Here is a 27,792-nt window from a genome sequence, read left to right as displayed (position 1 = left end):
ATACGGCACGCTCACAGCTGGGAAAGCAAGGAATCCCGGAATCCAGGTGATCATTGACCCCGACACCCTCTGTCTCCATAACATTCTTCACTAAAATTAGATGCACAGGCCTCCGGTTCTGCAGCAGCGGCCTCACCGCCACGCCCTCGCGCGGGACCTGTGCTGCTTTCTCACGGCTTCCCCATTTCATTCTCAGCAGCATCCGAGGAGCCAGCTGGTTTTGAAAACCATCCCCGGAGAGTCAGACAGTCTGTTCAAATAGAGAGGCTCTTAAATTATAATAAACCCTTCACACTTTCCCCATCATTAGCACGGGGTACCTGTCACTTCAGCTCAGCAGCAGCAGCTTCTCTGTGGAGAGGCCGTTCCTCTACCCTGTGGCTGGGACTCCTTCCTCCCTTTATTTTCCAAGCTGTGAGTGCACGGCTGAGAAGATTGCTCCTGTGTTGTGTGCGGCGAAGGGAAGCGGGCTTCAGCTTCAACCAGGAACAGGAAAGGGGCAGCATCATTAAGGCAGAGGGAGAAAGAAGAAAGCCAGAGCGCCAGTGCGTGGGAGAGGCAGAGCCGCGTCAGGAGGAGGAGCGGGGCCTCGGCAGATGAAGGAGCCCAGACGCAGAGACCACGCGAGAGGCTTCTCCACTCTGTGTCTTTCACTGGGACAGGGCTATTGTCTTGGAGGGAAATGCCGCCTGCCTGCGCTGCTGAAATGTTCCTGCACTGATCTGGGGGCTGCCCCGCCTGGGAGGCTGGCCGGCTTAGGTCTGTCTTCCACGTATCCCCTTGCTGCTCCCCACACCTCCAGCCACAGTGGGGTCAGGGGGGTCAGGAGGGTCGGCCTTTGGAAAGCCCTTGCTGAGTGCACACTCAGGGTGCTGATGAATTCACATTGTGGGTGAGAAAGGGCAGGGCCGAGGCCTGGCTCTGCCACCTGACACTTGCCTGTCCCTCAGGCACATCCATCCAGCGTGCCCCCTCTTGTCTGCAGAGTCCCCCAGCAGAAGGAGGTCCCCAGTCCGACACCCGGCACAGCTGCCCGCTCAGCCGGGTGAAAGAGGGCACAGCCCTTGGCTGCAGAGATGGTGAATGGCATGGCAGGGCGGGGTGGGAGTGATCAGCAGGACATGGAAACGAAGCCAGCTCTCCAAGAGCGACCTCTAGGGGCAGCACCATGGTGGGAGATCCACCAACCTGCAGGGGCGGATTGGAGGTCCCTGAAAAGGAGAGTGGGAACTTCCCAGGGACGTGGTGTCAAGAAGTCAGCATCGTCAAATTTATTCAAAAGGGAGAGGCAACACTGACAGAACCTGAGGCTTCTCCCATGACCACTGAGGGACTCGTGTTAGCCCAACGGACCTCAAGATGCTCATAAAAAAGGCGACCCTCACTGACCGCAGAGACGCCCAGGCTGCGCAGTGTCAGCCCTGGAGGAGCCATCCAGGGAAGCTTGGCGGGCAGTGCCTGCAGTAGGGAAGGGGCCTCGGGTACTCCGACCACACTTCCATGGAGGACCCCGCCATGTGGGGTGCCCCGCAGCCAGTCCCTCGGGTGCGTCAGCAAGCCTGGCCTCTGGGACGCGTGGAGAAGAGGGTGAGAAACACGATGAGATCTGGCCTGTGGCTAAGGCACAGACGGCAAAGTCCCCGTTCTACAGGAAAACTGGTCCCAGGGTCGGGTGGGAGGTGGGGGCTCCCTCTGCACATCCTCCCCACACGCGATTCTGGAAAGGGGTATCTCCACACCTTACTGCCGGCACCGCAGGGGTCGTCACTCCCTGTTTCGGCCACTCAGGTCCCTTTTGTTTCAGGAGGGGGTGTGGCTCTGGCTGAAAGGCGAGTGCTGAGGCCACAGATAGCAGGAGCCATAGTACGGAAGGAGGGAGGAGCATGCTCTGCTGAGGTCCTGGGCTGGGGGTTTTGGGGGGTGCATGACCTCTGGAGCAGCCCCTGAGGTGACAGTGGCCGGGGGGGTGGGGTCCCAGTAGGGAGCAGGGGTGGCAGGGGCTGGTGTTGGAGGCAGGCATGGGAAGCAGGCAGGCCGGTGGGTGGGAGGGGCTTGGAGAGGTCCCAGCAGCCAATTCCTGGAAGGTGCTAGAAGGAAAACATCCCAGCAATTCAGCAGATCAGAGGGCAGTGGGGTCTTCCCATCCAGCATGCCCCCAAGAGGCAAGTCCCCGGCGGGTCACCATCACCCCCACAGTGCCCGGCGTGTCTGGCCATTGACAAGAGCTTGGCATGTGTTCACTGAGACGGAGGTGGGAAGGGGCTTGGGATTTAACCTGCTGACAATTCAGGAGCCCTAAAGGGGCTTTTTAGGAAAACATATTCTAATTACAAAATGAATAAGTGTTTAAAGCAAAAACTTGGAGAAAATAGGAAAAAGGAAAGAGTTCTCTGCTGGTCCACCCTGCCCTTCAGTCTCTGGTGGGTTCCGTCCCTGCCCTCTGAGGCTCACTCCACGCCCGGCTGCATCTGAGGCTTGGTCTTGTTTGTGGTTGGCTCTTTCATTGTTTTGTCCACTTTGGATGAACATTTTTGACCTCAGGTTGATGTGGCTCCTTCATGGGCCACCCTGCCCCTCTCCTGTGAGAGTCGCTGAAGGCGCACCCCTGCTGAAGCTGCCCCTGCCTCCCACCCACCCAAGGAGGCCCTGCCTGTCCTGTTTGGGCCGCTCTGCCTCTCTGCCCCTCCCTCTCCTCAGCAGAGCCCTGCCTGCTTCGCCCGGTCCATCCTGTGCAGATGCATGAAGTAACCGGCCCCTCTGTTCGCCCTGATGCCCCAGGACAGGGCTCTCTGGATCTGCCAGAAGGTATGGGCAGCTGGGGTATTGGGGAATCTGTACTGGGGAAGGTGGAAGGTGCAGCCAGGCTGGCCAGGAGGCAGAAAACAAATCCAGGCAGAGGGTGGTGAGGACGATGTGGGGACAGGCACAATCCTTGTATACCCCAAGGTGAGCGGGGCTTGCAAAGATGCCAAGGAAAAGGAGCGCAGGGGGCACAGAGGCAAGAGGTGGGTGCAGGGTGGAGGGAACAGACCTTCTGGGCCAAGGGTTCTCAGTCTGTAGATCGGGGGATGGAACCCAGGGCTCTGTGAACTTGGACGACCAACAAATTCACCTCTTTTATTCCCCTCTTACTTAATGTTTCCTTCTGTTATGAATGTGGGCACCACGCCAGGAAAACAGCAGCCTCCTGTGAGTGCTCATCTCCCAGCACAGTTGCAGATGATCTGACATTTAGTTTATAGTTGGCACCACCTTGAAATCACCACATTTATCAGGCCCACTGAAGGCTCTTGTTACTAATCGCGTTAATAAAGATGCTCCTACCTCACAGACTTGTTTTTAATGTTTTGATAACTACATGCCAATATGATTATTTGCTTCTGTGAGTCAATGTGTTTCACTTTATGCATGTGAGGCATTATTATGTAAAGGTGGGCGGGTCACAGGCTGCACCAGGCTGCTAATAGGATCAAGGGCACAAAACAGCTTCAGAAGAAGACATGCAGATGCCTGGGTGGGAAGGAGTCTGGAAAGGAGTCCAGGGCAGCCCCACGGAGGAGTGATCAGCCCCATCCATGATGTTATTCATCATTATTATTATGAAATCTGAGCATTTCCAGGACCTCATCTGTTGTGTTCACAGCTGTATCCCAAACCCAGACCAGAGCTGGTGTTCAAGATGTGGTACAACCCGTCAGTAAACATTAGCCACTGTTTCTATTACAGCCAGGGTGATCACTGCCCCTGATCTTCCACCACCTCTTTTCTTACAGACATTGGGGACCAGGATGAGCACCACTCATGGCCCAGAGACTTGCTGCTTCCACCTGCATAAGAGCCATTGCCCTCCCCATGCACCCAGCAGTGTGCAGGGGGCCTCTCCTGACACCCTTCCTTTCTGCACACGATGAGTTGGGTGTGTAGGTCAGATGATGCAATCCTAATAGTAACCCCTCCTGTGGCCCTGTGAGCCAGTCCATGCCCTGGGCAGCCACCAATTGTGCACCACCCTCTCCTACCCAAGATGCCTTTCAGAAGTGCGCGTGCACCTGTCAATAGCTACATCTTCCATTCCTTCATTTTCAGGGGGCGGGAAGTCATTAGGGGAAAGAGGAAAGAAAACTTTACAGGTAAAGACCAAAAATACTTTATCCCAGCACTGAATGCCATTCCCATGCCTGGACACTCCTTAACTCAGCTGGGTCCAGCTTGGCCTCATGCTCTGAGGACAGTTGGTCCCGGCACTGTCTCTGTCATGGAGAAGCTGTGTGTTCCCAAAGGATGCTCCATGACAAGCTTGCACATTCCAGCTGCCCAAGGGGCAATGTGCAGCTGAGAGCGAGTGGCCCCTCCTTGCCCTGAGCCCAGGGAGATTGACTTTATGGACAAACGTTATGTGAGGCAGGGTTTTATGGGAAGCCGTGCGGGAATCATTCACCCCCACTGTGCTCATGGCTGCCTCAGGTCAGCACTGGAGCCTGGTCCCTGATAGTTCATCTTTCCCACCCACGTGCTCCCAAAATGTAGTCCACAAATTCATCCAGTGGCCCAGCTCTGCAGTGTACCAACAACACACCACGCTGCTTAGACAGACGGGCCGCCTCTAGTATCGAAACGAGCCTCGCTACTTTCATGCACGTGGTGCCTCGGAACCATGGCTAACGTTCTCTAAATGACTACAGAAGAATCAACAAAAACATTTTCTAAAAAAACAATAAAGAAGTAACAGAAAACGTTAACTCCTGGGCAGTTCTTATTGTTTGTTCCAGGGGACACAAAAGGGAGGGCCCCACGGGGTGTTCCCACACGACGCAGGGTTGCCACAGCCCGTCCTTCCGTCCATGGACTTCTCGGACAGCGTTTGGTGGGGAAGGATCCCGCAGTCAACACAGGCAGCTCATTAGGCTGTCAGGAAGGCAGCCCTGACGGGCACACTCCATGCAAAGGGAATCTGCTCAGGGCAGCAGCCACGTCTCTGCTGTGACCTGACACTCAGGTAGGGCAGGCCCCATCTGCCCAGATGCACGTCCTTCCCGCCCACAGGTCACAGCAGGGCTTGGCTCCTCACACATGCAGGGCTGGGTAGGACATACCCAGACATTGGCAGCAGAGGGAGGTTCACTCAGGAATGCCTAAGGGCCTACAGTTTTGTGCTCAGGTGGACCCAAGGGTGGGAGGTCCTGGGGCGCTGCACAGGTCCTGATTCTCTGCCCACAGGCTGCGTGACCTGACATGTGACCAACCACTCTGTGCAACACGAGCTAATGACAGCACCAGGGTGCCCGGATGGAGCCCACGGTCACTGCACCCTCAGTGCATGGCCAGCGCTGGGGTAAAGAGGATACTCAATAAACAGTGAGCGAATGAATGAATGAATGAATGAAGAACTAATAAATGGCCACACTGAGGACTTCATGAGATAATGAAAGTAAAGCCCTGAATATCAGCTATTGATGTCATCCTTCTATTTGTCTGTCTTGAAAAAGCCAACAGTGTCTGTGGGTCAGCGAAGATGTCTTGATTTCCTCAGGTATCTGTGTGGGGGCCGAGGGGACCCAGCGCTCTGCAGACACGGCGGCGTCTTCACTGCCTAACCTGGAAGTCTAGGCCCTTTCTTAAAGACGCACATTTATTCTCCCTGCTAGAAGCACGCACACAAGCAGAGTCACAGGGCTGTGGCGTCTTCAGCAATTTAGAAAAAGGCGGCAGCAGGTGTCTAGGGTTGGAAGGACCCTCGAGCCCCACTGAGCTGCCCCACTCACCCTCCCAGGTACAGTCCTTCCATGCACAGCATGCCGTTTTGGAAACCCCGGCTGCTGTTGACGTTGAGGGGACACACATGTGATAGTTCTGTTCTCCTCTCTTGGCAGTGACAGGAGCCAGGGCAGACCCAGGTGGGCCCGGTGGGGGCTGCCCAATGAGCGGCACACTGTCCTCCCTCCGCATCTAGGGCAACAGTGTCTGGCCTGTCTCTGGGCGTCAGGCACCAGCACTGGAAGTGGCCCCCAACCTTCTTCCCTGCTCAGCTCAGCCCCCCTTCCCTCTTCCCCCCCACCCTCTTCCCCTGCTCAGCTCAGCCCCCCTCCCTCTTCACCCTGACCCCTTTCCCCTGCTCAGGTCAGTCCCCCACCCCCTTTCCCCCCTCTTTCCCCAACCCTCTTCCCCCCAGCTCACCTCCCCCTCCCTCTTTGCCCTGACCCCCTTCCCCCTCTCAGGTCAGTTCCCACACCCTTCCCCAACCCTTCCCCCTACCCTCTTCCCCGCCAGCTCAGCTCCCCCTCCCTCCTCCCTCTCTCCCACCTCTGAATCTGTATTTCCTCATGCGTCACAGCATTTCATCCATGCGTTCACCAGGTTCTGAATGTCGACTGTGTACTGGGGAGACTTCAGCAAACAAAACCCCAATCCCTGCCCGGGAGGTGCTGGGTTCTGCTGGGGGGACCCTTGGTGAGCAGCACGCACCTCAACGAATGTTACAGCTGCATGCCAGGCACGGCCCAGACTCCCGGGCATCCCCAGGGGGTTCTACTATGTCCAAGAATCTTTACAATAACATTCAGATGTTGCTTCAAGAGACTTCCAGAATGGAGGCATGAGGACTTCCACAGACCTCGTCCCCAGAGAAACAACCATAACTGGTGAAAAGTCTTAAAAAAATCCACCATTCAACATCTCTAGAAATTGTCCTAAGCATATACAGCAAACTGAGTGACTCTCATTCTGAAAAATCTACTAAATCACAATGTGACACTGCTGCACGCCCCTGGGATAAACTAAAACATGAAACTGGAATATAGCAAGTGTTGGTGAGGATGTGGATCAACTGCAGCCCTCATGCATTGCTGGTGTGAATGGAAAATGGCACAGCCATGCTGGAAAGCAGGCTGGTAGTTCTTGAAAATGCTGAACAGTGTGAGTTATCCTATGACCCAGCCACCATTCCAGTTCCGGGGTATAACCAAGAGAAATGAAAACACATGTCCACACAAATGCATGCACACTAGTGTTCACAGCAGCTTTACTTCTAACAGCCAGGAAGTGGGAGGACACCCTGTGTGCATCAGCCCAGGCAAGGACGGACAAAGTGTAGCCCATGAGCGTGTGTGAGTTTACTTTTGCTGCTGTAACAAATTACCCTAGTCTCCAAGGTTTAAACTGACACACAAGCATTACCGTACAGTTCTGCAGGTCAGAGTCTAAAGTGCCCCTCTGGAGGCTTCTGGGTAGAATCATTTCCTTGTCTTCCATGTCACCTTGACCTCTGTTTCCACTGCCACTTCTTCTCTGACCTGACCCTCCTGCCCCCCTCCTATAAGGACCCTGTGAGTGCACTTAGGGCCCACCCAGGTAACCCGGGATCATTTCAAGGTCCTAAACTTCGTCACCCCCACGAAGTCCCTTTGCCACATCACATGCCATATTCACAGGCTCCAGGGATCACAACGTGGACATCTGGGGGGTCATTATTTTTCCTTCCTCACCACACTATGAAGTGATTCTGCAATAAAAACAAAGTGAGTACGAATGACACTGGACACATGAACCATGACGGCAGTGTGCTGGGTGGCCCAGAAGACTGCGTGGGAGTGACTCCATTCACATAGGGTATCCCGAAAAGGCAAATCCACAGACAGAAAGTATACTGGTTGTTATCTCGGGCCTGTAGGAAAAGCAGGGTGGAGGGGGAAAGGGGAGTGACTGCTTAATAGGGATGGGGTTTCTCTTGTGGGGTTCACTTTATTTTGAAAATGTTCTAAAATTAGATTGTGGTGGTGGCTGCACAACTCTGAATGTACTAATCATCATAAATTGTACTTTCCAAGTCTGAATTTTAAGGCATATGAATTGTATTTCAACCAAGTTGATTTTAAAAAACCATACCATTGGCCATTTTCACGGTGGCTACTTTTGCATGGATGACGGGCGCCCCTGTGGAACCACTGCAGGGCCCTGAGCAGTGCCCAGTTTTCCTCTTGCTCTGCCTCACCATGCTGGGGCCATGGGAGAAACATCATTCCACTAGGGAATGTTCTTAGTGAAGTAGAAGTGGTGAAATCAATTGTACCAAGTCTTGACTTCTTGACTCTTAAATATATTTCTTATTACTCCATGTGACAAAATGGGAAGTACAGACAAACTCACACCAAAGTAAATGGCTGGGGGAAAGCACCTGAACCACTGTTTTGAGTTGCTAGCTCAACTAGCCACTTCTTTGTGGAAAACCTGTTTTTGCTTAAAAGAAGGATTGACAGACAAGCAGCAGGTAGTCATGTTTGACTGTTAGGCAGATAGCTAATTGAAAAGGAACGCGTCAGTCTGTTGCTTTGAGGCAAACAGTTGGCGGTATTTGCTGCAAGGACAAACAGAGCTTTCAAGCAAAACTTAGAATTTTGGAAAGTTTGTGTCTGCCATGGCAAGCTCAATGGCTTCCCAATAATGAAGGACTTTTCTGATGAGGCTGGTGGTGATGTTAACAAACGTCATTTTTTTAAACTGCCGTATAATGGAAGACCTGCGTAATTCAGAAAACCAATTGCATATGATGAATCCATGATGCTACAAAATTATGCATGGGTTAAAGATCCATTCAGAGAACAACAGAAACCAATAGGGTTTAGCAGAACAGAGCAGAAGTTCAATGACACGACTTCAGCTTTCATGCTGCAACTAACGTTTAAGAAACAGGAAACTGCCTCTTGTTGACTTTTGAAGTAACATCGAAGAATAACATCCACAATCATCTGAGGAGATTAAAATGACCCTCCCTTCCCATCTACACACCTGAGTGAGGCTGATTTTTTTTTCATCTATTTCAACCCAAACAATGCATCACAACAGAGTGGAAACAGAAGCAGACCCCAGAGAACCCAGCCAGCTTCTGTGACACCAGACACGGAAGAGATTTGCAAAAATGTAGCACAATGCCAATGTCTCACTCAGCTGGTGTTGTTTTGGAAAACACAGTTTGTTTTCATAAAATACATTACTTATGTTAACATGGAATAGGCTTATTGCTGATAGTTTAAAACAAATTAATCACTACTTTTCAAATGTCTGGGTTTTGATGTCTCATATGGTAATTATCAACAGGTTTGGCCCCGGTACTTGTCAATCAATAGATCCAGCCCTGGTACTTATCAGTGGGTCCGCCTCTTGTACTTATCAATGGGTGCAGCCCTGGTACTTATTAGTAGGTCCAGCCCTGGTACTTATCAATGGATCCAGCCCTGGTACCTATCAGTGGATCTAGCCCTGGTACTTATCAGTAGGGCTAGCCCTTGTACTGGGGAATAAAGTAGCCATCTCCCTGGGCCTCTGAGGGTGCCATCTGGATGCTGTTCATGGCTCAGCATTGGCGGTGGAGACCAACTGCCCTCATGTCAGGAAGCATCACATGGAGCTGGAGCCTGGAGACCCGGGGACCCCCCCCCCCATAGATTTAGGGAAGACAAGGCTTTGGCAGGCACTCACTGTAGGTTGTTTAGAGTGCCCACTTTAAAAGGTCAGGTATTTAAATTATATCCCCAAATCCAGACGACTGGACTCAACACCATCACGAAGGTGAAGGGTGTGATAACTGCAGTCCCGTCTCTGACTCGGGCCCACTGAGCCAAACGTGGGCTCCCAAACCCGACCCAAGTCCCCAGGCTGGGAGGCTGCCTGAGGTCAGAGCCTGGCAGAGGGAAGGTTCCAGGCCCTGTCCAGCCCCCTCTCCTCCCTAGCCATGGACGATCTGCTGATTTCAGCAGCTCCACTGTTCCGGACTGCAGCACGCAGACACGTGTTTCTATTTTCTATAAAGAAGAAAGACTCTTGTCAAAGAGTCAGCCATGGGTGCTGGGCTGACTGTCGCAGATCGGGAGAGAGTGCCCTCCTTCGGGTGTGAGTAGACGCCTGAACCTGACCCTCCTGCTGCAGGTGCAGGAAACGCCAGGGCTGCCCCCACCCACTGGGCCATCGCAGCTCCCTGTGATCACGAGCAAAAGTATATTTAAATCTCCCATCAGAGGACTCAGCTCAGGCTTGTATTCTAGGTGTCTCCTCCTTTGTCGCCAACTCTAGGCCACTGGCCCCATCCCCATCCATTCCTGTCTCTGGGGATCTCCTTGAAGGAGACTTCTCTGTCCTCCTCCCCCCACCCATCCCTCCACGTCCATCTCCCTACAGCAGCCAGAGGAACCACAATCGTTTAAGCTCCTGTGCTTCCTGTTGCTCCTGAAATAACAAGGACAGGCTCAACTCCCCTCTGTCCGGGGAGCCCACCGAGTCCTTCCCCACCCAGGGCCTGTGTGCTCACCCTGCCTGAGACTCCCTCTCCCAGCTGGGCACGGCTGCTTCCCGACCCTGGCCTCCTGGCCGCCCCCTCTCAAGGAGCACCATTCCCATCGCTCCTGTTAATCCTGTTGATTATCTGTTCTCTGTTTGTCCACGCAATGTCTGGGAGCTCCCTGGGGCTGAACCTTGTCTTTCTTTTTTTTTTTTTTAATTATTATTATACTTTAAGTTTTAGGGTACATGTGCACAATGTGCAGGTTAGTTAAATATGGGGGGAGAGGGGAGGGATAACATTAGGAGATATACCTAATGCTAAATGACGAGTTAATGGGTGCAGCACACCAGCATGGCACATATATACATATGAACCTTGTCTTTCAATGTCAACCATGAATCCTTGCCATCCAGCACATTACTTGGCACAGAGTGGGTGTTCAGCAAACACAGAGTGAAGGCAAGAGCTTTGGATGGTTCTTGTGGGACTCACCCTGTTTTTCTGCATGCCACTTGTGGAATTATGTGAGGATAGGCACATCATATTCACCAAGAGGAATTTTCTAGCAGAAAAGCATCTGAAAATTTACACATTAGAAACAAAGTGAAGTGGAGTAAAACAAAGCCAGCTCGATCATTACCCTTTCACAAACAATTTAAAATTCAGACCAAGAAGAAATCACTCCTGATTAATTTCTGTCTGTCTTAAGTCTAAGTTGAACCTTTTTCGTTTTAACATCTCTTCATGCTTAGACAGAAGGAAGCCTCGTGTTTTTTAAACAAATGCTTTGAGTCTTGTTTATGAGTCACCACACAAGCATTCATCACTCTGGGAAGCCTATTTGGCAAAAGTTAATCAGAGATCAGAGATTTACTATTATGCACACATTTAAAGTTATGAGGAAAAATTCTAAGCAAATAAATCATGTTTTACAAATTACTAATACCCAAGGAACAGATTAAGAGGTGGCCTGAAATCACGCTCCAGCCTCAGATGTAGGGGTCCACACACAGCTCTGATCTGTCGTCAAACGGCTCCAACTAAAACAATTATCGATGTTTGCATATATTTATCTCCGCGTGTGTTTTTACGAACAGAATGCCAACAGTGCGCTCGGAGCGGTACAGAAGATGAAACAGGACGAGGTCTCAGCCCTCGAGGCTTACAATCAAAGTAGGACAGATAAAACAATTCAGACATGAAATACATCAGTTGGAAAAGCTGTTAAAATTTATGAGGTGCAAGGTTTTGTCGGCTTTTCTCGGGAAAGACAGAACGGAATCGGAGGCCAAATGGCTGAGAACCACCTTGGGCTGGTGGTGTTTGCGAGGAATGATGAATGAAAGATAAACGCACTGGAGACAGAGGAGAAAGGGGGATGGTGAGCAGCGGGCTAGTGTGGTCTCGGGAGGGGGAGGGCCCTGGGGTGAGAAAGCCAAAGGCCACGGGCTCCACAGATCTCAGCATGACTACGTTTCCCCTCAGCGGGGAATGAGTCATTGGCCAAGTGTGTAAAACACGGCTACTCGTGTCTGGAACTGGTCACTCCACTCAGAATTCACGATCTTTCTTTTTTTCTTTCTCTCCCTGCAAAGGGCCTAGAGCTGGTCCTTGGTACGAGCTGAACAGAACAGAGAAATAATCGGCCTTGTGCCTCTCTCCCGCTGTGCCCAGACCTTCTGGAAGCAGGACCAGCGTTGCAAATCACTTGACTGATGGAGGCTGCGAGACCTACGCCTTCCTAGTTCTTAGATTTGGTGTTATCTTGGTTTAACCATCTTGGAAACCAATTTAAAAATCTGGAGTTTTCCCCAGTCTACAAATCCCAGTTCAGCCTCTTTCCCAATTTTGGCTTGCTACAATTAATAATAATAACAGGTAACATTTCCAGAAGGGTCGTGGCAGGCTAAGCGCTTGGCTAAGTCTCTGCACGCTGGCTTCTCGGAAGGCCCTCGAAGGCACATTATTCAGTGTGAACAGCAAGTTCTGCACAGCTGCACCAGGACATCATTTATGTTTTTAAAATGCCACGGAAAACAAATCTGTACACTTTTACAGACATTTTTAGCCACACAGGAAAGTAAACACATGAAGCAGAAAACGCCGGTTGACTCCGAGGTGAGAATCAATTTAACGTGGGGCCTGGGCGGGGGCGGAGTGGGGGATTATCGCTTGAACTGTACACTTTGAGTTTTCAGTGATGAGAAGTCACTCATGTGTTGCTTGTGCAATTAAAAAAACAATAAATAATAGTGAAAGTGGCTGCTTTCTGCTGCTTAATTTTCCTTCAGAAAAGGTGCTGAGAACACGGTGGGTGACTGTAAGGCCGTCCGCCTTTGAGTTACCCTACAGCCAGGGTCCCTTTGGAGGCCACAGAAACACAATCGCTGTGGAAGACGTGGTGCCCCAGCTGGTTATGGGGTCAGCTGGGGAAGGAGCGGAGTCAAAATGGAATCATTTTGTCCCTGGGCCCTAACCTCCCCGCGCTCGGCCTGGAACCCTGCCTCAGGAAGCAGGACTGCAGTTTCCGACGGGATGACCCAGGACTAAGAGCTCTGCAGGAAGACCCAGGCCTCAGATTCAATGTTATCTTGGTCAAACTGATTTGGAAACTAATTTTAAAATCCAGCAGGCTGTGCCCCTGCTGTCCCTCACTTAGTGTGGGCAGGCGTCCCAGGGGCTCTGGGAATGAGGAAGATGGTAGAAACCAGACGGCAGAGGTGGAGAAAGAAAGAGCATCCCCCTTGACAGTGTCCACCTGCCCGGCCCTGTCCAGTCACTCAGTGGCCCCCCTTCAAGCGCTCAGCCTTCCTCACCTTCCCCGTGGGTTTCCCACTCTCCCCTGCCCCGAGCCTGGAGGCTTCCTCCTTGTCCTCCCCACTGGGCTCTCTTGGATTCTCGGCCTTTCTTCAGCACTTGGATCAATGGTACTGATGCTGAGAAGCAGTGCCCACCATTTCCAGCCTCTGCTGACATCCCTCCTCTGACCTGCAGATATTCCCAGCCACATCTTCTTCCTCAGCACGGCTCACCCCAGGGGCTGCTGGGAGAGCAGCCTCTCCCTTCTGCTTCCAAGCTCTGTGAAGGCATGGCTGCTTATCTATGATTTTATCCCCAGGCTTAGTACACAGTAGGTACTCGGATGTTTATGGAATGATAAATTAAATAATGTGCCTCAGTGGATTATTTTTTGAACTGTTATTTAATTACTCTCTCACTCTGTCTCTCTCTGTGTGTGTCTCTTGTCTCTCCATAACCTGGTGACTTTTCCAAGGGCAAACAGGATGGTGATTGAGAGTGTGATCTATAGTCCCAGGTGGCCTGGGTTTAGATACCAGCTCTGCCACTCACTGGCTGAGCAACCCTGGTAAAGTCACGCTGATCAACTTCCTGTGCCTCAAGTTTTTTGTCTACAAAAGGATCAAATGAAGGATCAAATGCTGCTTAATTTTCCTTCAGAAAATGTGCTAAGACCTGGGTGGGCTACTGTAAGGGCATCTGCCTTTGAGTTACCTCACGTCCAGGGTCTCCCATACCTTAACACCCCCTCAGGCACTCCCTGGCTGGAGGCCACAGAAACACAATAACTGTGGAAGATGTGGTGCCCTAGCTGGTTATGGGGTCAGCTGGGAAAGGAAATGGAGGATCAAATGAAGTTAATGCACATAAAGAGCTTGGAACTGTGCTGGGAAACCCATCAGTGCTGGAGAGTGTTAGGTGCAGTTGTCACTGTTATTGTCACTGCCATCCCTATCCCCACTATCACCATCACCACCATCACCATGATAATTGCCATCATCATGACCATGATCATGATTAATATCATTATCATCACCATCATGATCATCACCATGATCACTATAAACATCATCATCATTTCCCCATCACCACAATCACCGTCATGACCATCATCCTCCCTATCACCACAATCATCACCATCACCATCATCTTCATCACCATCATCTTCCCCATCACCACCATCACCATCATCCTCCTCATCACCACATCATCACCATCACCATCACAATCACCATCACCATCATCATCATCACCATCATCATCACATCATCACCATCACCATCATCCTCCTCATCACCACCTCATCACCATCACCATCATCCTCCGCATCACCACAATCAGCACCATCACCATCATAATCACCATCACCATCATCTTCATCACCATTATCCTCCCCATCACCACCATCACCATCATCACCATCCTCTGCATGACCACAATCATCACCATCACCATCACAATCACCATCACCATCATCATCATCTTCATCACCATCATCCTCCCCATCACCACATCACCATCATCACCACCATCCTCCACATGACCACAATCATCACCATCACCATCACCATCACAATCACCATCACCATCACCATCATCATCACCATCACCGTCATGACCATCATCAACTCAAATGGCTCCACCAAGTTCGGGAGTATCCAACAATAGATTCTCAATAAATTCCTATTAAATTGAATTTGACCAAATAATCAGAAAGATAAAGCTTCCTCTAAATATGGAGACTGAAAATTAAGACAGAAATGGCACAAAATAATAGGCATTTTATAAAACACAAATATCTGTACATCAAATAATATAGGCCTGCCCTAAAACAGGACCCTAACAAATGAAAGCAATCTTGCTGGTGGGTTTAGAATTGAAGGACAGGAGAAGATTGTAAGAGGGATGGTGTGGCAAGAAAGACTGAGGGTGGGAAGGGCTTCCCCAAGGTCAAAGGAAAACGCTGGAAATGACCAATAGCCCCTCGGCTGGAGTGAGCCTTGCTGCTCTGCACAGCACCCATCCATGCTGATGGTGCTTTTCAGCAGGATCGTTTTATTGGAACGTTTCAGAGCAGACCTGTGGCTGGGATCCAGCTCTGCCACTTACCGTGTTGGTCACCCTGAGCCAAGATTCTCACACTCTCAAGCCTGGTTTTCCTTATCTGTCACATGCAGGTGGAGAAGCGGAGGGAAGCCAGGCCTGGCGAGCTCTCAGAGGCAGCAGTGGTTGCCCACAGGCCTGCAGGGGCGGTGGAAGGAGGGGCCTCACATCGGCGATGGCTTTCCAGGGAAATGCCCCTGCTCCTAGGAGCAGGCTCCATTCAGACACCTGCTCATCTCACTGGGTCTCACTGTGACCTGCAGACGACAAGTGTGCAGTGCGGGAGAGCTGCTGGCCCAGGCAGCGCGCCCCGTGCGTTAGCCTCGCAGCTGTCAGCCCCCTGCAGGCTCTGGGTCCCTGCTTCCTTCCCCTTAGGGTTATCTTTCCCCCTAAACTTGATCCTGTAGCTTTCTCTAATCCACATGCCCCACCCCCACTAAGCACACATTCTCACAGGGTTATCTGCTGAGCTCGTGTTATATTTTATCATTGTTTTAGCAAAAATCTATTCATGCATTTATTCAACCGAGGTGCCCCCAGCACCCAATACCTCCAAGGCTGTGGCCAGGTACCCTGCTGTCCACTGGAGACAGCAGCGGATGTGACAGGGGCTCTCCCACTCCATGGAGTGGGCTTTCTAGTGGGAGAAAGCAGCCACAGGTCAATTGTTAAACAGGCAGAACTGTTAGGGCGAGAAGAGCTAGGAAGGAAATGCATGCGGTCTGGGATGAGCAGAAAGGGCAGGGATTCTAGTTTGTGAGGTTGTCTGAGAGGCTTCTCTGAGGGAGACCTTCTCAATATTGATCTGCAGGGGTCGACGATGCTGTCTGTCAGTACCCAGAAGCCAGGACGAACATTCCAGACTCTGGAAGGCACGTGCAAGAGCTGTCTGAGGCTGCAACATTTAGAGACTTGATGTAGGAAAGCCACTAGAAGGAGTTTAGCAGGGAACCTCTCTACTGACGCACATATATTTTTAAGACAGGGTCTTGCTCTTTCATCCAGGCTGAAGTGCAGTGGCGTGATCTTGGTTCACTGCAACCTCTGTTTCCTGAGTTCAAGTGAGTCTCATGCCTCAGCCTCCTAAGTAGCTGAGACTACAGGCATGCAACAGCACACCCGGCTAATTTTTGTATTTTTTTGTAGACACAGGGTTTCACCATGTTGGCCAGGCTGGTCTCAAACTCCTGGCCTCAAGCAATCCACCCGCCTCAGCCTCCCCAAGTGCTGGGATTACAGGTGTGAGCCACCGTGTCCTGCCCCAGTGAATATTTTAAAAGTCACTCTGTCATCTTGAAGGAGTGTGTGGCTGTACGGGCTGGTCCATCCAGCGACACGCTGTCCACACTTCAGTGCAGGTGCAGACACATGTGGGCAGGCAGGAGAGGAGTCTCATAGACACTGAGTAATAAGATATCAAAGTTGATAACCCCTACATGTTAAACGAGGAGGGAACGAAGGATGGCAATGTGATGTCAACGAGGAAAGTGGAGAGAGATCAGGCCAGGCACCCAGCCATGTGTGGGGTAGTCCCTCTAGGGCACGGGCTCCCAGGGACAACCCCTCACCCCAGCCTTGTCCGCTCCCACTGGATGCCAGCTCAGCTCCACCTCGCAGCTGCCTCTGTCCCCTGCCCCTGGATGCCTTCCATGGGACCCAGGGAATGGTCTGCACAGAACGCGTGTGTGACAACCCCCGTCTCCCCTCAAACATCTGATGCTCCTCACTGCTCTCTGCACAGGGACAGGCAAGCACCCAGACATGACCATGGGGCCAGCACCATCTGGCCACCTGGCCACCTCTTGCGTCCAGCCCTCTGTCCCCCCACAGAGCCCTCTGTCCCCCCGCAGAACCGTCTGTCCCCCCGCAGAGCCCTCTGTCCCTCCTCAGAGCCCTCTGTCCCCCCGCAGAACCGTCTGTCCCCCCGCAGAGCCCTCTGTCCCTCCGCAGAGCCCTCTGTCCCCCCCGCAGAGCCCTCTGTCCCTCCGCAGAGCCCTCTGTCCCCCCGCAGAGCCTTCTGTTGCACGGTACCCTCTTCTCTTCACCTCCCCTCTGACCTCCACCACAAACACCAAGAACATCTGGAAAACCAAGAGTAGGACCACACACTGTACAATTCTCTCATGCGCAGTGCCCAGAACAGGGAAGTCGACAGAGACAGAAAGTAGATTAGTGGCTGCCTAGGGCCGGGGGCCATGGGGGCGCAGAAGGCGGACAGCCAAGGGTGTGGAGTTTCTTTGTGAGGCGATGAAAACATTCTAAAATGGACTGGGGTGGTGGCTGCACAACTCTGAATGTAGACATCGTTGATTTGCACAGCTTAGATGAGTGGAGTGTAGGGCATGTAAATTACACCTTAATAAAACTGTTAAAGAAACGAAGGGCAGGCGTGCTGGGCACCAACAGGACATCTGGGGAGAAGTGGAGCCTGCAGGGCTGGCTTGTGTCCCCAGCCTCAGAAGACAGGCTCCTGACAGGTGCAGGGAGCACTGCCTGGGCTCCACCGCACCAGGCCCTGCAGGGGACGGAAGAAGCTCTAGGTGCAGCTCTCAGGGCACTGGGTGCAACTGGGGAGACTCTCCCCGGAAGCACTGGGAGGGAAGTCTACAGGCCAAAGGGAACTGCTGGTGCCCAGAAACCAGGTTGGAACATTCCAGAGAGTTAGCCTGGAGCCCAGGGCCACAGGGACAGGCACATGGGATGGTTCTGAGAAGGACTTGCGGACAGGGCCCCAGGCAGGGGGATGGCCCTGGGAAAGCCCCAGGGCTCACGCTGCCTTTTTCACTGCGCTTGAACAATAAGGAGGAGAGCGGATCCGTGCAGGGCACCTGGCTCATGGAAACAGATAAGGAGGCAAACATCTCAAAAATCAAGGGCAAAGCCGCGTGTGCCTCTGTGATTGGAGGTGGGGAGGCGGCATTAGGAAGAAGCTGCAGAGGTCAGGCCTGGGATGACCAGGGAGGGGCAGGTGGACAGGAAAGTCTCCGTGCACACACAAGGCATGGGCAGCATGCCGCCAATGGTAATGATGGCCACGAGCAAAGTAAAACAGGGAGTGGATCACCCGCAGCCAGGCTGGAGGGCTGGGAGCACCCTCTTCCCACAGGCTGCCCTGAGGAGGCGCCCACATGATGGCTGAGACTTGAGGGCAAAGCTCAGCCATGCCGAACGCTGGGACCCTCAGGCAGGCCAGCCAGGGCCGAGGAGGTGCCTGTGGCTCAGGTCTACCGGCTGGGGAGACGGCGGGAGCTCAGCAGAAAGGGCTGAGCTGCCACATTCCCGATTCCACCTCACGGTAGCGGCTCCAGGCATTCCAGACAAGCATGGTGTGGGGCTGAAAAGCGGTCCCTAAAGGTGTCCATGTCCTGATCCCTAGGACCTAGGAACACAGCTCAGACAGCCAAAGACCCTGGCAGAGCTGATGCAGTCGGGGCCTTGGGATGGGAGATTACCCTGGGTCACGGAGGCAGCCCAGGCACAGGGCATCATCACGGGTCCTTACAGGAGGGAGGAAGCAGGGCGGGTCCGAGGAGGAGGTGTGACTTCGGAGCACACAGACCGGAAGAGGCTGCCTCACTGACCATGAGGGTGGAGGAGGGACCATCCCAGGAGGAGGGGTGATGTTGGAGTAGAGAGGGACCAGAGCAGGCCGCCTCACTGGCCATGAAGATGGAGGAGGGGCCAGGAGCCCAGGAACACGTCTCCAGAAGCTGGAAAAGGTGAGGAAATGAATTCTCCAGGGTCCTCCAGGAGGAGCCATCCCTCCTGACCCTCTGGCTGTAGCCCAGTGAGGCTGATTCTGGACTTCTGACCCCTAGAACTGCAAGAGAACAAACCGCTGTTGTTTGAAGCCACCTGGTTTGTGCTCATCTGTAACAGCAGCCACAGGAAACTAATACATATGGCGAGACATCATGCACGGATCCCTGGAGCCAGGCCCTGGCAAGTACATCCCACTGGTCCCCTGCCTGGGTGAGCCTGCTGCCTCCTCTGCAGACCAGGCCAGCGGGAAGCAAGGCGACTCCTGGGAGGAAGACCCTACCTGCTCCCTCCCCTGCCTACAGCACACAGAGGCCAGAACCCTGGCTCCAGTTTCCTTTTGGATAGTGCCCTTGTCCATTAATTTGGGAGAAGCCCTAATGCTCATGAGGTCTGGAATCCATGCTTCAGGACGGACTCTCTTTAGCAGACTCTGACTTATCCTCAGGTCCTCGGGTCCTGCTGTTTGTTGGGGTGTGGGACTTGCAAGGCCTCGGGCTCACATCCACTCCTGGAGGAGTCATGGTCCTAGTGCTTCATCATCCACGTGAACACAGTTGGGACTGGGGTCGGCCCACTTTGTAAGCCCCCATTAGGCGCCACCCATTGCTAATGGCTCATTTCGTGCGCCCAACGCCTGTCACCAGTGGTGGTCTGGAAACAAAGACGCCAGAGCCTTCCATAACACGGATCCCTGCTTCAGCCAGCAGGAGTCATAAGGGGGCTAATTTCCCCCCCTAGAGCGTCAACCTGAAAAACCAATGGGCTGCCTTCAGCGCACAGCAAGGCAGCTGAGAAGGGCCATGCACGCTGCTAGTTAAGGTGTGAGAGGTCTACATGCATCAACCAGAGACTTACGAAGGTGTCAAAAAACACATGCAATTTTTTTTTTAAAGTAGAGGTTTTATTTTATTTTATTTTTTGAGATGGAGTCTTGCTCTGTCACCCAGACTGGAGTGGAGTGACAATAGCTTGGCTCACTGCAGCCTCCACCTCCCGGGTGGCCAGCAATTCTCCTGCCTCAGCCTCCCTAGTAGCTGGGATTGCAGGCATGCACCACCACGCCTGGCTAATTTTTGTATTTTTAGTAGAGATGGGGTTTCATCATGTTAGCCAGGCTGGTCTCGAACTCATGACCTCAGGTGATTCACCCGTCTAGGCCTCCCAAAGTGCTAGGATTACAGGTGTGAGCCACTGCGCCTGGCCAGAAAAGCAGAAGTTTGCCTTGACTTTATACAGATTCCTTTTTTTTTTTTGTAGCAGTGTAAGAGTCCGTAAGTCCAGGCCTTCACCTGGGTTGCACTGTAAACAATGAGGGCACGTTACCTACTGCAAAGTCAGCTGCTTCCTAGCTGATAAACATGTGACTGGCGGGGAAGGTGCTGGATGCGCCTCAAGTGCACAGATGTTTATTTTACAGCTTTTTTTTTTAAATTCAGAAAGTGTATGCAATTTAATTAGCCATCTTATTTTACAAAAAAAGGCAGTACATTTTTGGCTCTAGGAGCTTTTGAATAACTATAATATAGAGGGACGTTTGCATTCATACTTGGTACTCAGCCTTACACTTCAATTTTACTGAAGTTTCAGTGGGGAGGCAAATGTCATCTAGTTTTGCATGGAGATTCGTAGCTCAATCCAACTCCACAAGTATTCATCGGGTGCCTACTCCGTGCTCTGCATCGGGGCAGAGTGGGGGTTGTGGGAGATAAGCCAGATGTGGCCTCTGTTTTCAGGGAACACAACCTGGGGCTGGAATCGCTAAAAGGGTAGACTTTAAGATCTCCATCTGGGCCAGGTGCAGTGGCTCACACCTGTAATCCCAGCACTTTGGGAGGCTGAGGCAGGAGGATCATCTGAGGCCAGGAGTTTGAGACCAGTCTGGCCAACATGGCGAAACCCTGCCTCTACTAAAAATACAAAACTCAGCCAGGCATGGTGATGCCTGCCTGTAATCCCAGCTACTCAGGAGGTTGAGGCAAGAGAATCACTTGAACCCGGGAGGAGGAGGTTGCAGTGAGCCCAGATCACGCCGCTGCACTCCAGACTGGGCAACAGAGAGAGACTCCGTCTCAAAAAAAAAAAAAAAAAAATCTCCATCGAGGGAGATTTAGAGGCAACTCCCCGACTGCCTGGCTGGCTGCTAGTAGAGTCTCCCCTGCTCGAGTGGGGTAAAGTGAGTTTTGAGGAGTCCTGGAAGAATTGTGAGAGTGTGAGTACCTACTTGTCCATTTGGGACCCTGGATTTCCTTTGGGAAGCCCCCATCCTCCACCCTCAGGTGTGGGGTTTGAGTGGGAGGACGCCTGTCTGTGCCATGCATGGCCCCGCAGGACTGAGGATGATCACGGCTGCTCATCCCTCAGCACACGGTCAGGGTCGGGGATGGAACTCAATCCCAGCCCAGGGGTACTGGAAAGAAAAGCATCCTTTCCTTCCCACAAGACCGAATGGATGAGAAAGAAGCCCTCTCTTCCCTTGGATGGGGCAGGGTGTCTGTTGTCTTATTGCTTGACCGGAGGATCTAGACTTGTCCTGGGCCACGTATATGGATCTGAAACTAAAGACTAAAAACATGATGTAAGGCAGAATGGACCGGATGAGAGAAGCAATATTTTTAGTGATGTTAGCTCATATCAGTTGGATTGGGGGTTTTGTTTGGTGTCACTCACAGCCCAGACTTTCCATGCACAGCAAGTGCAAGGCTGAGATGAGATGGAGGAGAGGTGGCCAGGTCCTTGGTGAGAATCCTGGCCGACCACCCCTTGAGTCGGCTCTGTGAGTAGCTCCAAGTACTGAGAGGGAACCATCTTCCTGTGGTTACTGGTACATGTGGAAAATCATGAGCTGTAGAGATGTTTTCTTCTTTGATGAACTGTAAATGATGGTTCTATAATTTTCACACATTGCTCAGAGTTCAACCAGTGGGACGTGAGAAAATCCCCAGTTATTTTGCACTAATTTGTAGAGAAAGTCAACAGCTACATCCAGTGAAATCACAGAATGCTATGGTATGAGAATCTTCTGACAAAAGCAAAAAATTAAAGACCCTTAGATTACCTGGGTCTGCATAACTCTCAATGGCAGTGTGTCATTCCCCCCCAGTGCCCTGGCCTCTCCCTGGTGCCCAACACATTCTCAGTAGCCATTCTCTTTGGTGGGTAAAAGGACCTCTCTCTTCACCAACAGGGGTGGATCATACAGGTAACAGGTCCCCTGGGAATTGCTCTGGCCCTTCCCAGGTGACAGCTGGCAGAGAGGACATATGGGGAATGACACCTTAACTTGAGTAGAGCTGAGGGTCGGGACACAGAGAGATTTGCCAAGGAGGGGCAGAGGTTTCCTGGCTGGGCAGGCAAGCTTGGCAGTCCTGCATGGTGGGGAGGCTGTGTGGGGACAGGGGGCCTCAGGGAAGGAGTGGGGCTTGAAGGAGGGAAGGAGACATTAAGGAGAGAAATGAAGACAAGCTTTCCCTATGCACAGCTTTGCCTCAGGCTAGTTTGCTTCTTAGATGATCCACAGGCAGGGAGCCAGGGATCAGAAATGTTCATTATGTCAAGACATAGTCTTGGTATTGAGCATCAGCATGTTTTCCTGGGGCTGCCCAGGGCCGCCACCCAGAGATTTAATCAACCAAGGAGAAGCACCTTCTCCCTCCAATGCAAGCATCTGGAACACAATAGAACCATAGGCTGCATTTCAAATGTGTAGCCCCACACAGCCCACCCACCAACCCACCCATCCTTCCTGGGACCCCAGAGAACCCAGGCCCATGGTTGTGCCCAAGAAAATCAGAGATTCAGCTCAGCTCTCATGGACCATGATTGAGTCTTTTCCCCATGCAGACCCTTCAACATGAAAAACATCCATGCATCCTTCAACATGCAAAAGATCTATGCATCGTTCGATACACAAAAGATACAATCATCTTTCAACATGCGAAACATCCACTCATCCTTCAACACACAAAATATCCACTCATCCTTCAATATACAAACATCCACTCATCCTTCAACACACAAAACATCCACTCATCCTTCAACACACAAAACATCCACTCATCCTTCAACACACAAAACATCCACTCATCCTTCAATACACAAATATCCACACATCCTTCAATACACATACACTCAACCTTCAATACATATCCACTCATCCTTCAACACACAAACATATACTCAACCTTCAGTACACACACATACACTCATCCTTCAACACACAAAACATCCACTCATCCTTCAACACACACAACATCCACTTGTCTTTCAACACACAAAACATCTACTTATCCTTCAACATGCAAAACATCCATGCATCCTTTAACACACAAAACATTTATGTGGTGACACAAGTGAATGTTTCCATGCACTCCTACAGCCATCAGCTGGGGTTCCCTTGTTGCTTTTTAATTTCCTACTGCACTTTATGGCTCTTGCAATGACATTCTTCTCTGGCATTAAAAATAATGAAATCTCCCAAGACCCTAGAGTCCCAAGGATTAATGGGGCTAACTGTGGATTGGTGTTTTCAGTCTTCCAAACAAACTGTGGAGAGGTACACATTTTGCCACAGAGAAATCCACGCACTCATACAGGCCCTCTTACTTCATTCGCCTGACATTTCTGAGCACCCAGCATTAGAGGGGTGAACACGCTTCTCCTGGGTGCTGAGTGGCAGCAGTGGCCATTAAGAGCTCAGAGCTGAGATAACTCACAAGGCTCCATCTGGCCCAGAGGAGAGAACAGCAGGGTTGATAAGTGATGTCTGCCTCACGTGAGGGATAGAAGAGAGTGGGATCGATTAGTGATGTCTGCCTCCGGTCAGGGAGGGGATGCAGTGGTACAGACATATTTTTGCCAGCCTACTCCTACTCCAAGCCAGGTGCTGTCCTAGATCCTGGTGAGATGGGTAATCAGCTTGGTTTGTCAAGTAGGAACTAGTGAAGCCAAGACCAGGGGTTAGGGTGGTCAGTTAATCTGTATTAGCCTGGGTGGGTTTCTCAGCACAAGGAACCTTTATTCTCTCCTAACCCTGACCTGCCAGCTGCAAACACGATCAGCTGGGGAAGCATCATGACAGAGAGGGTTAATGGCTCTGCTGGTGGGTGACCCAGCAAGGATGAATCTGACACGTCGCTGTCTTGCTGCAGGAAGAACTGTTTTATGTTCACACACAAAAAATAAAAGTCAAAATAAAGCCCACACTGAGAAGCCACGCTACCAGGAGCTGTGCTCCAGTTCTTTCTGGCAGCTTTGATTCGGAGCCCACACTGCGTGCCTCCGAATGGGGAGCACACCCTCTGGACCCCCTCTTTCATCTTCCCCTCCACTTGTCCCTTCTCCTTCCCTCCCTTTTCCTCCTACTCAGAGTCAATCCTTAGACCATGTCTTAGACCAAAACCCAAGGACGAAGCCCTTGAGGTAGCCACCTTTCCTGTCTTTCCAGCCCCATCCCATGTCATCAGCCTCTCCCCTACTGGCAGAGTTGAATCCTATTTATTCCTGAGACTTGGGTGGCTCACATGTCCCCAGGGAAGCTGTGCCTACCTCCCATCTGGGTCAATTTCTTTTATCATATGCTGCTCAGCAGGAGTTGGCAAACATGTTCTGTAACGGGCCAGATAATAAATCTCTCAGGTTGGGTAAGGTCACTACTACAATTACTCAACTCTGCTGTCACAGAATGAAAGCAGTTACAGACAATATGTAAATGAATGGGTGTGGCTGTGTTCCAATAAAACTTTATTTACAAATACAGGCAGAGGGCCAGATATGGCGTGTGTGCCAGGTTGCTAAGCCCTGTTCTATAGAATCATGATCCCTTCTCTCCATTGCCTTTTCTTCATTCCAAGATTTTATTAATAACTGTCACGAAGAGATTTAAACTCCACGAGTACAGGTCTGTGTCTTTCTACCACCATTATAGACTACCCAACAAATATTTGTGAAATGTGTCACTGAATCTGACAGGAAGAACCTTTGTTTTATGGTGTCTGCCATAAAACTGGAGCTGTGTGTAACCCGTAAGTATATACCCTGGGATTAGTGTTAACAATACCAGGAAAAACCTCTCTCCTTTCTCCTCAACTTAAACTTGGGAACACACAGGCTTAGACCTGTCGTTGCCAGCTTGCTGCCATCATGACTGAAGAGTCAACCTAGAGGTAGTGGAAATAGAGAGAAACTAGGCCCTGGTAATGGCTTCAGCCTCTGGATCAAGCTGCTCCTGAAGCTGACCCTGGATTTCTCTGGCACTTAGCTTTTTTGTGTTGGCCGCTTTGAATTCAGTGTTGTCACCTGCAGATGAAAGAGCTCTACCTGCTAGAACCTCATTAACAAAACCCCGAGCTCAGACCCTGTGCCGCACCTTCCCAGCGTGGTGTTTCTTCACACGGCAGCACTCTTCATGAGTTTATCATCAGGTGTGCAAACTGCTTTAGCTTATCTTTGCTCTGTCCTGAGAGAATCCTTCCCAGCAAAGGTGGAGTTCCACTCACTGGAACACTGCTTGTGGGCATTTAACTCACTATGGCTCAGGCATATGGCAGCTGGCACTTCTATGAGAACCCTGGACTTGGTCCAAAGCTTTATAAGGGGTCCAGAGCCCACAGAGAAGAGCTGAGGATCCAGCCCCTAAAGCAGAGATGTGACTCCCCCAACCTGTGGAGAGGCCGGAGCACTTCCATCCAGGCAGCCTGTCCTGGAACAAGGGCTTTGTGGGGAGGTGGCACCTTCTCAGTGGCCGGACGCAGTATTTCTCACATTGGGTCCTCTGCAATATTTTTATACTTACACTGAGACCATTTTTTTTCTCTGTAATTAAATAAGATCCACAAGCTTGCAATGGCATTCACAAATGGGGAGAAGGCAGGAAGGAGAAAGGGGGGTGGGGGTCAGGTTGAATCTGTACGTGTGAACTGTGTAAACTCTGTCTCTGGCAGCAATTTAAAGGCTGTGCCTTCTCTCCCCTCGAGGTGCTCCATGACTCCCACTGCAGTGAGATGCCTACGTCCACTTCATTTCACGTTGCACACGGGGCCCACGGGGCCTCTACCAAGCACATCCTTGCATGGTGAGGCACACAGGCATTTGCTGGCTGGGCCAGTGAGAGCAGGCCCCAGTAAGAATATTAGCCTTGGCTGGGCTACAGCATGGTGCTGCTTGCTCTTTTGAATCTATATGTGTGCAAGGTGTGGAGATGGGGAGGGAAGGCACCTTTGTGGTCACCACGCCCAGCAAGCTCCAGGCGAGGGGCCCAGGCCACGAGGCCAGCTGGGGCCAGCTGGTGAATGGGTTCTTGAAGCCACCCCAGGGCTGTGGGTCCTCGCTGGCCAGAAGGTCCACTCGCAGGCCCGTGGGGCTTCTGGGGCCCTCACAGGCACTCAGATCATCAGCTGGATTCAGGAGCTGCAGCAGCTACAAGCCAGAGCCTACTGTTTCTCCTGAGGGAGGGAGGAAGGGGCTGCAGGGAGGTGAGCGAGGGGAGCTCCTGGCAGGGCTCAAGATGTTATCAGCACACAGCTTTCCCTTCCATCTGTCCTGTGTTTGAGTTTATCAAAATTGTGTTTATATGCAGTTTATATACACAGCCGTAGCTGCCATGTGATGGGATTTCTGCCATGGGAGGGCCCAGAGCACATCGGCTGTTGCCCCTTCCTCTTGCTAGGAATGGCAGGAACCCCGTGTGGATGGGGGGTCAGCTCTGGCTTCAGGCTCATGCTGCTCAGCGGAACATCAGGGCCACTGTGCTGCAAGCCAGGAGGCCCCGAGGCTCCTGGGATGGCCCTGGGGTGCCCACGCTGGTCAGGACTGTGGGACACGACCCCCTCCACCAAACATGCCAACAGGGACCCAAGGACCCTCAGACATGATGGTGCGCTCTCCATGCCCCACTTCCGGATGCCACCCTGGCAGGTGGTCTAATTATAGCAACAGTCCTTCTGCTTCTGGAGATGCCAAAGCAGGTGACATTTCTACAAAAACCTCAAAATACTCAACTTGTGTTTCTGAAATGAGCAAATCTCAAGGCAAATGCCAATAAGAGCCATGGGCATCCACCAGGCCAGGGACTGTGCAGTCGTTGGACTTTGACTCTCCTTCCCAGACGTGAAGAGGCTGGTGTTCCCTTTGCTTCAGTTCCCTGCTGGGTGGGGTTCTATTCTCTGGGCTTTAACACTCAGCTGAAATAGGACGCTCCCACCCCATCAGCTCACTCTCTCTGAAGAAAGGACTGTGCAGGGGTAGGACCTGCAAAGGGAAACCCACATGCCACCCCATCCATCCGTCCAACCATCCATCCAACCATCTATCCATCCATCCATCCATCCATCCATCCATCCATCCATCCAACCATCCATCCATCCATCAATCCATCCATCCGTCCGTCCGTCTATCCGTCCATCCATCCTTCCACCCATGTCTGTACACCCATATGTCCATCTGTCTACCCATCCATCCATTCATCTGACCATCATCCATCCGTCTGTCCATCCATCTCTCCCTCTGTCTGTCCATCCATCCATCCATCCATCCATCCATCCATCCATCCATCCATAGTGTTCTGAAAGAGGAATCATCTGTATAAGACTGACCCCTTGGGGCTGCATATTCCTCTAGGAGCTGTCTTCTCTGAGGTCAGCCTTCAATGCTAAGCTGAGAAGGACTCCTCTTTTGTGTGACGCAAACTGATCCAGATGGTGGAAATATGGAGCCTTTCATACAAAGACGCGCTGTCCTGGGGGCCTTGTTCAGGACTGGGTGTCCTCACCATGCAGCGTGGATCTGCCCATTGCCTATGTGGGTCCTGAGAGGGGATGCTTCCTAAGAATGGCAGGGCAGGAGTTGGGAGGACCTGCAGTTCC

General features: G+C 51.7%; 1 protein-coding gene across 5 annotated transcripts in view, besides 2 other annotated features; it reads right to left on the bottom strand.

Annotated features, from left to right (window-relative positions):
- CDH4 (cadherin 4) overlaps nt 1-27,792 on the bottom strand; it is a 688,357-nt gene that overhangs the window by 340,308 nt on the left and 320,257 nt on the right. Inside the window, exon 1 of one of the 5 annotated variants that reach the window (NM_001252339.3) lies at nt 321-549. The exons of the other annotated variants lie outside the window; for them this stretch is intronic. The gene's annotated coding sequence lies outside the window, so the exon portion shown is untranslated. Of the gene's footprint in view, nt 1-320; nt 550-27,792 lie in introns of those variants that run through there. 5 annotated transcript variants of the gene reach the window in all.
- Nucleotides 961-1,693: an enhancer, noted in NCBI's record as "H3K4me1 hESC enhancer chr20:60173673-60174405 (GRCh37/hg19 assembly coordinates)". NCBI's record gives its function as "activates a minimal SCP1, AML or CMV promoter by ChIP-STARR-seq in naive H9 embryonic stem cells {active_cell/tissue: H9 hESC(naive)}" and the evidence as "EXISTENCE:reporter gene assay evidence [ECO:0000049][PMID:30033119]".
- Nucleotides 10,066-10,567: an enhancer, noted in NCBI's record as "H3K4me1 hESC enhancer chr20:60164799-60165300 (GRCh37/hg19 assembly coordinates)". NCBI's record gives its function as "activates a minimal SCP1, AML or CMV promoter by ChIP-STARR-seq in naive H9 embryonic stem cells {active_cell/tissue: H9 hESC(naive)}" and the evidence as "EXISTENCE:reporter gene assay evidence [ECO:0000049][PMID:30033119]".

Source organism: Homo sapiens, chromosome 20 (genome assembly GCF_000001405.40).
Source record: "Homo sapiens chromosome 20, GRCh38.p14 Primary Assembly".
NCBI lineage: Eukaryota > Metazoa > Chordata > Mammalia > Primates > Hominidae > Homo > Homo sapiens.
Note: the sequence above shows the minus strand (reverse complement) of the source record. Positions and strands in the feature narration are given on the sequence as shown.